Raw genomic sequence first — 12865 nt, forward strand, 5'->3', positions numbered from 1 at the left:
TGTTCTTTCATCTGTTTATCTGTCTGTGTCAGTACCACATTGTTTTTGTTATTATAGCTTTTAATTGTTTTGAAATCAGGAAGTATAATGCCTCTTTGTTTTTTTCCATGGGTGTTATAGTTTATAATAAAAATTTAAAATTTTAAATAATATTTCTGTAAAAAATTGTGCTATTAAGATTTTTATAAAAATTATATTGAATTTGTTCACCACTGTATGTTATATTGACATCTTTTAAAAATTAAATTTTTTTACCCTTGAGCAAGAATATGTTGAACAGTGTGTTTTATTTTAATATATTTTTGAGTTTTCCAGCTTTACTTTTGCTTTTAATTAGTAGGTTTATTCAGTTTTGTCAGAAAACATGGAATGTATGATTTTGGTCTTCTTAAATTTATTTGTTGTTGTCATTGTTTTGAGACAGGATCTTACTCTCACCCAGGCTAAAGTGCAGTGGTATGATGGCATGACTGGCTCACTGCAGCCTCAGCTTGCTGGGCTCAAGTGATTCTTCCACCTCAGTTTCCTGAGTAGCTAGGACTACAGACATACTATGGGACCACCATGTCTGGATAATATTTTTATTATTTGTAGGAACAGGGCCTCACTAAGTTGTCCATGCTGGTCTCAAACTTCTGGCCCCAGTAATCTTCCCACGTTGGTCTCATGAGCTCCTGCAGTTCACTGGTATTTTTAAATTTCATAAGACTTGGTTTGATTCCTAACAGAATACGCCAGGTGCAAATAAGAATATTGTACATTCTCGGCCGGGCGTGGTGGCTCACGCCTGTAATCCCAGCACTTTGGGAGGCCGAGGCGGGCGGACCACTAGGTCAGGAGATCGAGATCATCCTGGCTAACATGGTGAAATCCCGTCTCTACTAAAAATACAAAAATTAGCCGGGCTTGGTAGCGGGTGCCTGTAGTCCCAGCTACTCGGGAGGCTGAGGCAAGAGAATGGTGTGAACTCAGGAGGCGGAGCTTGCAGTGAGCCGAGATCATGCCACCGCGGCTGGGCGACAGAGTGAGACTCCATCTCAAAAAAAAAAAAAAAAGAATATTGTACATTCTCTTGCTTTTGACTGAAAAGTTTTATACATGTCTGTTAAGCTTAGTTGGTCTGTAATATGGTTTGCATGTCCATGTTCTGCAAACCTCATGCTGCAATGTACTCCTCAATGTTGGATGTAAAACCTGGTGGCAGGTATTTGGGCCATGGGGCCAACTTCCTCGTGAATAGCTTGGCGTCATCCTCTTGGTAATCAAAAAGTTTATACTCTGTTAATTCAAATGAGAGCTGATTCATTAAAATAAACTAGCTCCTTCACCTCATACTTCCTCTGTCTATTACCATGTGATATGTGTATGTTCAGTTATTCTTTGCCTTCCACCATGATCGTAAGCTTCCTGAGATCCTCACCAGAAGCAGATGCTGGCATGCACTTCTTGTACAGGTGCAGTCTGTCAAACCAAGCCAAATAAACCTTTTTTTTTTTTTTTTTTTTTTTTTTTTTGAGACTGAGTCTTCCTCTGTTGCCCAGGCTGTGGAGTGCAGTGGCATAGGCTGGAGTGCAGTGGCGTGATCCCAGCTCACTGCAACCTCAGCCTCCTGGGTTCAAGTGATTCTTCTGCCTCAGCCTCTGAAGTAGCTGGGATTACAGGTGCCTGCCACCATGCCTGGCTAATTTTTGTATTTTTAGTAGAGATGGGGTTTTGCCATGTTGGCCAGGCTGGTCTCGAACTCCTGACCTCAGGTGATCCACCCGCCTTTGCCTCCCAAAGTGTTGGGATTACAGGCGTGAGCCACCATGCCTGGCCATTTTTTTCTTTATAAGTTATCTGCTCTCAGGTATTATTCTATATGTAAAAAAATTAATACAGTCTATAATGTTTTCTAAGTTTGCTGTTATTGATCTTTTATCTGAACTGTTATTGAAAATAGGGTCTTGATGTCTACAATTATGTTGCTATGTATTTCTTGCTTCATTTTTGTCAGTATTTTCTTTATATATTTTGAAGCCCTATTGTTATATATACATGTACATATAGATAAATATAATAGTTACATGTTCCTGGTGAATTAACCCATTTTACTATTATATAATATCAATCTTTGTCTCATGCTAATACTTCACTTAAAGCATATTATGTCTAATATAATTATGACTACCTCACCCAATTGTGGTTACTATTTGCATAGAATAAAGATATTTTCCCCATTCTGATATTTTCAACCTATTTGACTCAATGCTAATATGAGTTTCGTTTTTTTTTCTTTTTGAGATGCAGTCTTGCTTTGTCACCCAGGCTGGCTCACTGCAACCCCTGCCTCCCAGGTTCACGTGATCTCCTGCCTTAGCCTCCTGAGTAGCTGGGATTACAAGGGTGTGCCACCATGCCTGGCTAATTTTTGTATTTTTTTTTTTTCTAGTAGAGACAGGGTTTACCATGTTGGCCAGGCTGGTCTTAGCCTCCCAAAGTACTGGGATTACAAGTGTTAGCCACTGTGCCAGGCCTAAAATTAGTCTCTTATAGGCAGCATATTGTATGCTTTTTTCTTAAGTCATTCAGGTATTTTCTTTTTTTTTTAATATATTTACTTACTCATTCATATTTAAGATAGGGTTTCACTCTGTCAATCAGGCTGGCTTGTAGTGGTGTAATCACAACTCGCTGCAGCCTTAACCTCCCAAACTCAGATAATCTTCTTATTTCAGCCTCTCAAGTATCTCTACTACAAGTAAGTGCCATCACACCCAGCTAGATTTTTTGTATTTTTTGTAGAGACAGGGTTTTGTTATGTTGCCTAGGCTGGTCTTGTAATCCTAGGATCAAGTGTTCAGCCCACCTTGGCCTCCCAAAATATTGGGATTACATTTCTTCTTATTAAGTAGTTTAGTTAATTTATATTTAAAATGATTGTTTAAATAAATGAAGCTACTATTATCATTTTATTATTATTGTTTTATGTGTTTCCTGTAGATGTTTTTTCTTCTGTTTTCTTCAATTTAAATTTTAATTGTGTAGTGACATACTTTATTTTTAAAATGTTTTTCATACATTCTATAAATATTTTCATAATGGTCATGAAAAATGGAGATTACATAAAACATCTTAAAGTTAAAACAGTTTTATTTTTTTTTTTGAGACGGAGTCTTGCTCTGTCGCCCAGGCTGGAGTGCAGTGGCATGATCTCGGCTCACTGCAACCTCCGCCCCACTAGGTTCAAGTGATTCTCCTGCCTCAGCCTCCCAAGTAGCTGGGATTACAGGCACACTGTAATTTTTGTACTTTTAGTAGAGACAGGGTTTCACCATCTTGGCCAGGCTGGTCTTGAACTCCTGACCTTATGATCCACCCGCCTCAACCTCCCAAAGTGCTGGGATTACAGGCGTGAGCCACCGCGCCCGGCCAATATTTTTAAACTCTTAACAACTTCAATTAAATACAAAAACTAAACCTCTATATTTTTCAGTTGTTGATATTACAAATTATTTTATATTGTGTATTTGTTAACAGATTAATATTTCATTTTTCATGTACTTTTTTTTTTCTTGAGACAAAGTTTCGCTCTTGTTCAGGCTGAAGTGCAGTGGTGCGATCTCGGCTCACCACAACCTCTGCCTCCCAGATTCAAGCGATTCTCCTGCCTCAGCCTCCGGAGTAGCTGGGATTACAGACATGTGCCACTATACCCAGCTAATTTTGTATTTTTAGTAGAGACGGGGTTTCTCCATGTTGGTCAGGCTGTTCTCGAACTCTCCCGACCTCAGGTGATTTGTCTGCCTCAGCCTCCCAGAGTGCTGGGATTATAGGCGTGAGCCACCGCACCCAGCCTACCTCTTTTTTTGGGAAGTCTTTATTTATATTTTGTGTTTGAAGTAAAATAATTTTGAATTAAGTCTTACTGGTTAAAATTTTTTTATTACATCAAAATTTGGGAAGTTATCCGCCTTTTATGTCTTCAAGTAACCTTTCTATTACTTTTTTTCTATATTCTTCTTCTAATATTTCTTTCTTGAATATATTGACATACTTGATGGCATTCGATAAGTTTTGCATTCCATGCTTTAATTTTGTTTTGCAATTTAATATTTTTATGTTATATATTTTAGGATGTGCCACCTCACACCAGTTAATTGTATTTTGATAGTTTATATTTTAATTGTGTATGACAATATTTAACTCTGCAATTTAAGACAGTGTGGAGCAAAATCAACTATGAATTAACCATATTCATTGTCTACTGCCAATGTAATTATCTGTTTGTATAAATATTATCCCTGTATTTTTTTATGATTTGTATTTTTCTGGCACAGGTTTGTTGTGAATGGTTGTTCAATTTTGTCTAGGTGAGCAGTCATAAAAATTCTCCTAATTTCAACATTTAGTTATATTTGAATCCATATTTTTGTGTGGGAGCAAAACGTTTAGATTGAAAGATAATTTGAAGGCTAAAGTGCAGTGGTATGATCTCAGCTCACTGTAACCTCCACCTCTCAGGTTCAAGCAATTCTCCTATCTTAGCCTTCTGAGTAGCTGGGATTACAGGCACCCACCACCATGCCCAGCTAATTTTTGTATTTTCAATTGAATGGGGTTTCACCATGTTGGCCAGGCTGGTCTTGAACTCCTGACCTCAGGTGATCCACCTGCCTCAGCCTCGCAAAGTGCTGGGATTAAAGGTCTGAGCCACCGTGCCTGGCCAAAAGTTTGTCTCTTGATTTTATAGATATTTAAATAAAGTGAATTATATATATATTTAAATAATCTTCTGAAACAGAAAGACTTGCTAACGTTATTGTTTAATTTGATTCTTGTATCTTTGTCCCTTATTTTCTGTCTTTCTTTCTTCCTTTGTGTCTTTTGATTTTTGTATTTATATGCTTTTCTTTCTTATTTGGTTTTGTATATCTACACAGATATATTCTTTGTGGTTCCTTGGGGATTACATAAAACCTCTACAAGATAAAACAGTATATTATAATCTAGTAAAAAAAAAATCAACTTTATTTGCATACAAAAATTCTTATTCATTACGTCTGCCCTCAACTTTGTCATTGATGTTAATTATATATTTATATGTTGTATATTCATTAGCAGGTGTTTATAATAATTCCTGTGCTTTTTTTACATTTTAGATAATAATTAAAAATGCTTTATGCGCCATTATGATAATGCTGTGAAATTCTGTTTTTGTATATGTGCATATCTTTCCCAGAAAGTTATTTATTTATTTTTTTTAGATGGAGTCTCACTCTGTCGCCAGGCTAGAGTGCAGTGGCGCGATCTTGGCCCACTGCAACCTCCGTTTCCCAGGTTCAAGTGATTCTCCTGCCTCAGCCTCCTGAGTAGCTGGGATTACAGGCATGCACCACCACACCTGTCTAATTTTTGTATTTTTGGTAGAGACAGGGTTTCACCATGTTTGCCAGGATGGTCTCAATCTCTTGACCTTGTGATCTGCCCGTCTCAGCCTCCCAAAGTGCTGGGACTACAGGCACGAGACACCGCGCCTGGCTGAAAGTCATATATTTTCATATGATTATGTGCTGTTTTCTTGCATCATGTTATTTTCAGTGGAAGGAACTCCTTTCAGTATCTTTGATATGTAGGGCATAGGCAGTGCCAAAATACATTTTCAGAATTTTGTTTTTTGTTTATTTATTTCGAGATGGAGTTTCACTCTTGTTGCCCAGGCTGGAGTGTAGTGGTGTGACCCCGGCTCACTGCAGCCTCCACCTCCAGGGTTCAAGCGATTCTTCTGCCTCAGCTTCCCAAGTAGCTGGGAGTACAGGAGTGCACCACCATGCCTCACTAATTATTTTTTATATTTTTAGTACAGATGGGGTTTCACCATGTTGATCAGGCTGGTCTTGAACTCCTGCCACAAGTGATCCACTTGCCTTGGTCTCCCAATGTGCTGGGATTACAGACGTGAGCCATCGCACCCAGCCAAATTTTGTTATTTTGGAAGGTGTTTTTCTTTTATTTGGCAGGACAGTTGTTGGTATTATTCTCACTTGACAGCTATTGTTTTCAGCACTTAGACTATATCATACTTCCCTTCTGACCTGCAAAATTTTCTTGACGTATTCACTGGCTATCTTATAAGCCTATTATTATAAATGACATATCACTTTCATCTTGCAGTTCGCAAGATTCTGTTGTCTGTGACTTTTGAAATTTTGCTTATATATGTTTTATAAATATCTTCGTGTGTATTCTAGTTTGTTGTCTTTATTTTTACATTAATTTTTCTTTTATATTTTTAAGTTTTTTTTGCATTTTTACCTCCACAATTTCTGTTTTTTGCTATTTTTAATATTTTTGTTGGTATTCTCATTTTTCTGATTTTCAATAGTTGTTTGTGTTCCTATTCACTCATGGAGTGTTATTCAATTTACTTTAAAATTTTAAAATTAATTTGTACATTTTTATTTTTTAATGGTTGCTTTCTGAAAATTTTATAATTTTTGTGGGGCTGTATTGCCCTAATATTTTTTATACGTTGTAATCTTTAATTGAAATTTGGAAATTAAAAACAAGTTGTCCATCACAATCTTTATAATGTAGCTTTGTCCTGGCATAGTTGGAAACCATTTGTCTTGAGTAGTGATTCTGAGAGTCTTTCAGACATGTTCTTAAGATGTGTCTTGTCTGAAATTTTCTAGCTTTTTTTTTTTTTTTTCAGTTAAAAGAGTTTGTTCATGTTTCTTCTTGATAGTCGGTAATCACTTGCTACAACTGTTACCTGTCTGTAGTACTGCAGTCTCTTCACTGCTGTAACATTTACCTTTGATCTCAGCAACTCAAAATGTCATTCCAAAGTATACCACCATTTCTTTCAGCCCTCTATGTCATGGGAGACCGAAACCAATATCTGCAAAGGCACATAGAAGCCAGAAATAAAGATGTATATGTTTGTTATTATTTTTCTTGTCTTTAAAAAAAAAAACACTAAGAGTTGGCAATTTACTTCTAAAGGCACTATGTTATATTGGGGAACAGAAAGAGCTTTGTTGGGTAAATAAAACAGACTTGTCTCTTTCTTCTATGTGGCTCTTTGCATTGTGCTCACCTAGGGCACTGCACACACTGAACTCATTTATAAATTTTCCACAAATGTATTTTGGTGTTTATGTTTTTGTTACATTTATATGTCTATGAAGAAATTAGAGCCTGTGGTATTTTGCTATGCAATCTGGCTTATGTAGTTTGTATAATTTTATAGATTAGATTTTAAAGTACATTTATCTGAGTCTAGCAAGTGGAGTAATTTATTATTTTTATTTCTTTCAGTAATGTCTTTTCATTTTGCCCAAGACCTTTGGCCAGAGCAGAACATAAAAGATTCTTTCCAGAAAGTGACACTGAGAAGATACGGAAAATGTGAATATGAGAATTTACAGTTAAGAAAAGGCTGTAAACATGTGGATGAGTGTACGGGGCACAAAGGAGGTCATAATACAGTTAACCAATGTTTGACAGCTACCCCAAGCAAAATATTCCAGTGTAATAAATATGTGAAAGTCTTTGATAAATTTTCAAATTCAAATAGATATAAGAGAAGACATACAGGAAACAAACACTTCAAATGTAAAGAATGTAGCAAATCATTTTGCGTGCTTTCACAACTAACTCAGCATAGAAGAATTCATACTAGAGTGAATTCCTACAAATGTGAAGAATGTGGAAAAGCCTTTAACTGGTTCTCAACTCTTACTAAACATAAGAGAATTCATACTGGAGAAAAGCCCTACAAATGTGAAGAATGTGGCAAAGCCTTTAACCAGTCCTCACAACTTACTAGGCATAAGATAATTCATACTGAAGAGAAACCCAACAAATGTGAAGAATGTGGCAAGGCCTTTAAACAGGCCTCACACCTTACTATACATAAAATAATTCATACTGGAGAAAAACCTTACAAATATGAAGAATGTGGCAAAGTCTTTAGCCAGTCCTCACACCTTACTACACAAAAGATACTTCACACTGGAGAGAACCTCTACAAGTGTAAAGAATGTGGAAAAGCTTTTAACCTATTCTCAAATCTTACTAACCATAAGAGAATTCATGCTGGGGAGAAACCCTACAAATGTAAAGAATGTGGCAGAGCTTTTAACATATCCTCAAACCTTAATAAACAGGAGAAAATTCATACTGGAGGGAAACTCAACAAATGTGAAGAATGTGACAAAGCTTTTAACCGATCCTTAAAACTTACTGCACATAAGAAAATTCTAATGGAAGAGAAACCCTACAAATGTGAAGAATGTGGCAAAGTCTTTAACCAGTTCTCAACTCTTACTAGACATAAGATAATTCATACTGGAGAGAAACCCTACAAATGTAAAGAATGTGGCAAAGCTTTTAACCAATCTTCAAACCTTACTGAACATAAGAAAATTCATACTGCAGAGAAATCCTATAAATGTGAAGAATGTGGCAAAGCTTTTAACCAACACTCAAACCTAATTAACCATAGGAAAATTTATTCTGGAGAGAAACCATACAAATGTGAAGAATGTGGAAAAGCTTTTAATCGATCCTCAACCCTTACTAGACATAAGAAAATTCATACTGGAGAGAAACCCTACAAATGTGAAGAATGTGACAGAGCTTTTAGCCAGTCTTCAAACCTTACTGAACATAAGAAAATTCATACTGGAGAGAAACCCTATAAATGTGAGGAATGTGGCAAAGCTTTTAACCGATTCTCAACCCTTACTAAACATAAGAGAATTCATACTGGAGAAAAACCCTATAAATGTGAAGAATGTGGAAAAGCCTTTAATCAATCCTATCAACTTACTAGACATAAGATAGTTCATACTAAAGAGAAACTCAACAAATGTGAAGAATTTGGCAAGGCCTTTAAACAGTCCTCACACCGTACTATACATAAAATTATTCATACTGGAGAGAAACCCTACAAATGTGAAGAACATGGCAAAGTTTTTAACCAGTCCTCAAACCTTACTACACAAAAGATAATTCATACTGGAGAGAACCTCTACAAATTTGAAGAACATGGAAAAGCTTTTAACCTATTCTCAAACATTACTAACCATAAGATAATTTATACTGGAGAGAAACCCCACAAATGTGAAGAATGTGGAAAAGCTTATAACCGATTCTCAAACCTAACTATACATAAGAGAATTCATACGGGAGAGAAACCTTACCAATGTGCAGAATGTGGCAAAGCCTTTAACTGCTCCTCAACCCTTAATAGACATAAGATAATTCATACTGGAGAGAAACCTTACAAATGTAAAGAATGTGGCAAAGCTTTTAACCTATCCTCAACCCTTACTGCACATAAGAAAATTCATACTGGAGAGAAACCCTATAAATGTGAAGAATGTGGCAAAGCTTTTAACCAATCCTCAAACCTTACTACACATAAGAAAATTCATACTTCAGAGAAACCCTACAAATGTGAAGAATGTGGCAAATCCTTTAACCAGTTCTCATCTCTTAATATACATAAGATAATTCATACTGGAGAGAAACCCTACAAATGTGGAGATTATGGCAGAGCTTTCAACCTATCCTCAAATCTTACTACACATAAGAAAATTCATACTGGAGAGAAACCCTACAAATGTGAGTATGGCAAAACTTAATTGATCCTACAAGCTTACTACACATAGGAAAATTCATACTGGAGAGAAACTACAAATGTGAAGAATGTGTTAAAGCCTTTAACAAGTCTTCAACTTTTTCTGCACACACGAGGTATTTTATACTGGTGAGAAACCTTACAATGTAAAGAATGTGGCACAGCTTTTAACTAATCTTCAAACCTTACTGAAAGTTGAGAAAATTCGTACTGGAGAGAATCCTACAAATGTGAAAAATGTGGCAAATCCTTTAACTGATCCTCAACTTTTACTAAACATAAGGTAATTCATACTGGAGAAAAGCCATACAAATGAGAAGAATGTGGCAATGCCTTTAATCAGTCCTCACACCTTTCTACACATAAGATAATTTATACTGGAGAGGAACTCTATAGTTGTGAAGAATGTGGCAAAGCTTTTAACCAATCCTCATACCTTACTATACAGAAATTCATACTGGAGAGAAAGCCTACAATTGTGAAGAATGTGGCAAAGCTTTTAACCTTCCTTAACCCTTAACTGTAGATAAGAAAATTCATACTGGAAAGAAACCCTACAAATGTGAAGTCTGTGGCAAAGCTTTTAACTGATTCTCAACTCTTACTACATGTAAGAGTATTTATACTGGAAAGAAACCCTACAAATGTAAAAAACGTGGCAATGCCTTTAACTGGTCCTCACACCTTGCTACATATAAGACAGTTTATACTTTGAGAGAAACCCTGCAAATGTGAATAATGTGGCAATACTTTAAACCAATCCTCAAACCTCACTAAACATAAGATAATACTGAAAACTTTACAAACCTGAATGATGTGACAATAATTTTGACAACACCTCGAACTTTCTAACATAAATCATACTGGTGAAAAATCCTAGAAATGTGAAAAATATCACAAAGCCTTTAAATGGTTGTCACACTTGATTGTAGGTAAGAATCCATACTGAAGAAAACTCCTGGAAGTGTAAAAAATGTGGCAACACTTTTAATAAATGCTCACCCCTTATTGCACAGGAAAGCATTTATACTTCAGAAAGATTGTACAAATACAAGGAATGTGGAAAAGCCATTATTATCTGCTCAGATTTTACTCAACATTAGAGAGTTAGTACGTAATAAAAGCATTATAAATGCAATTTTTGTCAAGAGATCTTTCAGAAAATATAAGCCTTTAAAGTGAAGAAGAGGAGCCAGTTGTGCTGGCTCACATCTGTAATGCCAGCACTTTGGGAGGCCAAGGTGGGTGGATCACCTGAGGGCAGGAGTCTGAGACCAGCCTGGCCAACATAGCAAAACCCCATCTCTATTAAAAATTTTACAAAAATTAGCTGCGTGTGGTGGCAGGCCCCTGTAATCCCAGCTAATTGGGAGGCTGAAGCAGGAGAATTGCTCAAACCTGGGAGGCGAAGATTGCAGTGAGCTGAAATCACACCACTACACTCCAGCCAAAGCAACAAGAGCAAAAACTTCGTCTCAAAAACAAAACAAAAAAAGAGTATTCATTGTGAGGACAAACAATACAAATACGAAGAGGGTTGTAGTACCTTTACTTGTATCACAGATACTTTTGTACCCATTTTGCACTAGAGGAAAACCATGAAGCAGTTGCTCAAATGTTGTTCAACACCAGAAAATTTATATTGGAGAAAAGCACTGTAAATGTAATGCATTTGTGAAAACATTTTTTAAAAAACTACAGCTTAGAAAATACCAGAGGCCTCATACTAAAATATATTTTTGCAAGTGAAGTAAATATAAAAATAATTTAATCCAAAATTAAGTCTATATAAATATCAGAGAATTCACAGTAGAAATATCTAAGGTACTGACACTTCAGACATTGCTGAGTATAGAATCAGAATGCTGAGTATAGAAAATAATTTAAAACTAAAGTTGGTAGGTAAATAATGTGTATATAACTTTAAAAGAAGTAGAATTTTTTTGTAGATGTATAATTACATTCAAATTATATTTTTTCTTGAAAAATTAGTTTTTGAAAAGCAAATGATGTAATTCAACTCAAATTCATGCTCTTCATTCCTATTGTATTCACATGTGAAAGCATGTGATTAATTTTTCATGCATCAAAGATATGAGAAATCATTTCTGTTAGGTCGGTATTATTTATGACACTTTCTATGAAAGAATAAGGACATTAAAATGTAAGATGCATGATGAAAACCTGAGTGAAGAGGCTGTTTGTGTTTAACTTATAATATTGAGTGATCCATGAAGTAGGTTTTCAGAGCAATATTCTTCTGCATTATAGTAAGAGAAAACCATTTTTAATCTTAGTTAAAATTAAAGTGAATTAGTAGTATATCATTTTACTATTTGTACTTTTATGTAATAAAATGCAATGTGTTTAAAAATTTTTGGATTATGCGTGAACTTAGTTTTTTAATTAAACTTTTTTTAACATGTTAAAACTATTGTGCATTCAATGAAGTGTTTTCATGCCACTGACTTTACCTATCCCACATTACTCAAGGGTTTAGGTAAAAGAGGGTAACAGTATACTACTTGATAACATAATGGGCTAACATCTCTAATAATTATTTTTGCTAGTGACTTTAAACTGCTAATAAAGAATATTGTTCCCATAGGTTAGATTTTTATTCTTTTTAAAATTTAAACTTATTTCTCTTAATTTTTGTGGATACATAGTATGTGTATATCTTTATGCCATGTATGGCATATTTTGATACAGGCATATAATTTTATGTATTAATCACATCAGGGCAAAAGATGTATCCATCAACTCCAGCATTTCTCCTTTGTATTACAAACCAATTCTGCACTTTTAGATACTTTAGAATGTACAGTCGTTACTACAGGGTCATTTTATGGTTATAATAAAAATTATATACAAGTATAAATAAACCATGAGAAAATTCTGAGTTCTGAATAAACATTTAAAAAATGTTATATATTTTTCTTTGAACATGTGACCTCTCTGCCTGCAAACATACAGCATTTTAGTTTTGATTTACATACACTTAACTATACACATATATTACTCTAAAAATGAACCTTAGGTATGAGAAAATTATGGAGCAAGTAAGTGTGTTTGTGTATTAGCTTGTACCTATTTTCAGAAGACGAGCAATATTGGAACAAAACTAATCTTTTTTTTTTTCGAGACGGAGTCTTGCTCTGTCGCCCAGGCTTGGAGTGCAGTGGTGCGATCTCGGCTCACTGCAAGCTCCGCTTCCCGGGTTCACGCCATTCT

The 12865-nt window shown here is 35.4% G+C and overlaps 1 protein-coding gene across 9 annotated transcripts in view; it reads left to right on the plus strand.

Moving 5' to 3' along the window:
• The window catches only part of ZNF107 (zinc finger protein 107), a 45445-nt gene extending 32889 nt beyond the window's left edge, over positions 1-12556 (plus strand). For all 9 annotated transcript variants that reach the window (NM_016220.5, NM_001388025.1, NM_001388026.1 and 6 more), the window contains one exon: positions 7303-12556. In NM_016220.5, coding sequence (NP_057304.1) covers positions 7303-9635 — 2333 coding nt within the window. In that variant the 3' untranslated portion in view covers positions 9636-12556. The remainder of the gene's footprint in view (positions 1-7302) is intronic.
• Positions 12557-12865: the final 309 nt, after the last annotated feature.

The sequence above is a fragment of the Homo sapiens genome, chromosome 7 (genome assembly GCF_000001405.40).
Source record: "Homo sapiens chromosome 7, GRCh38.p14 Primary Assembly".
NCBI lineage: Eukaryota > Metazoa > Chordata > Mammalia > Primates > Hominidae > Homo > Homo sapiens.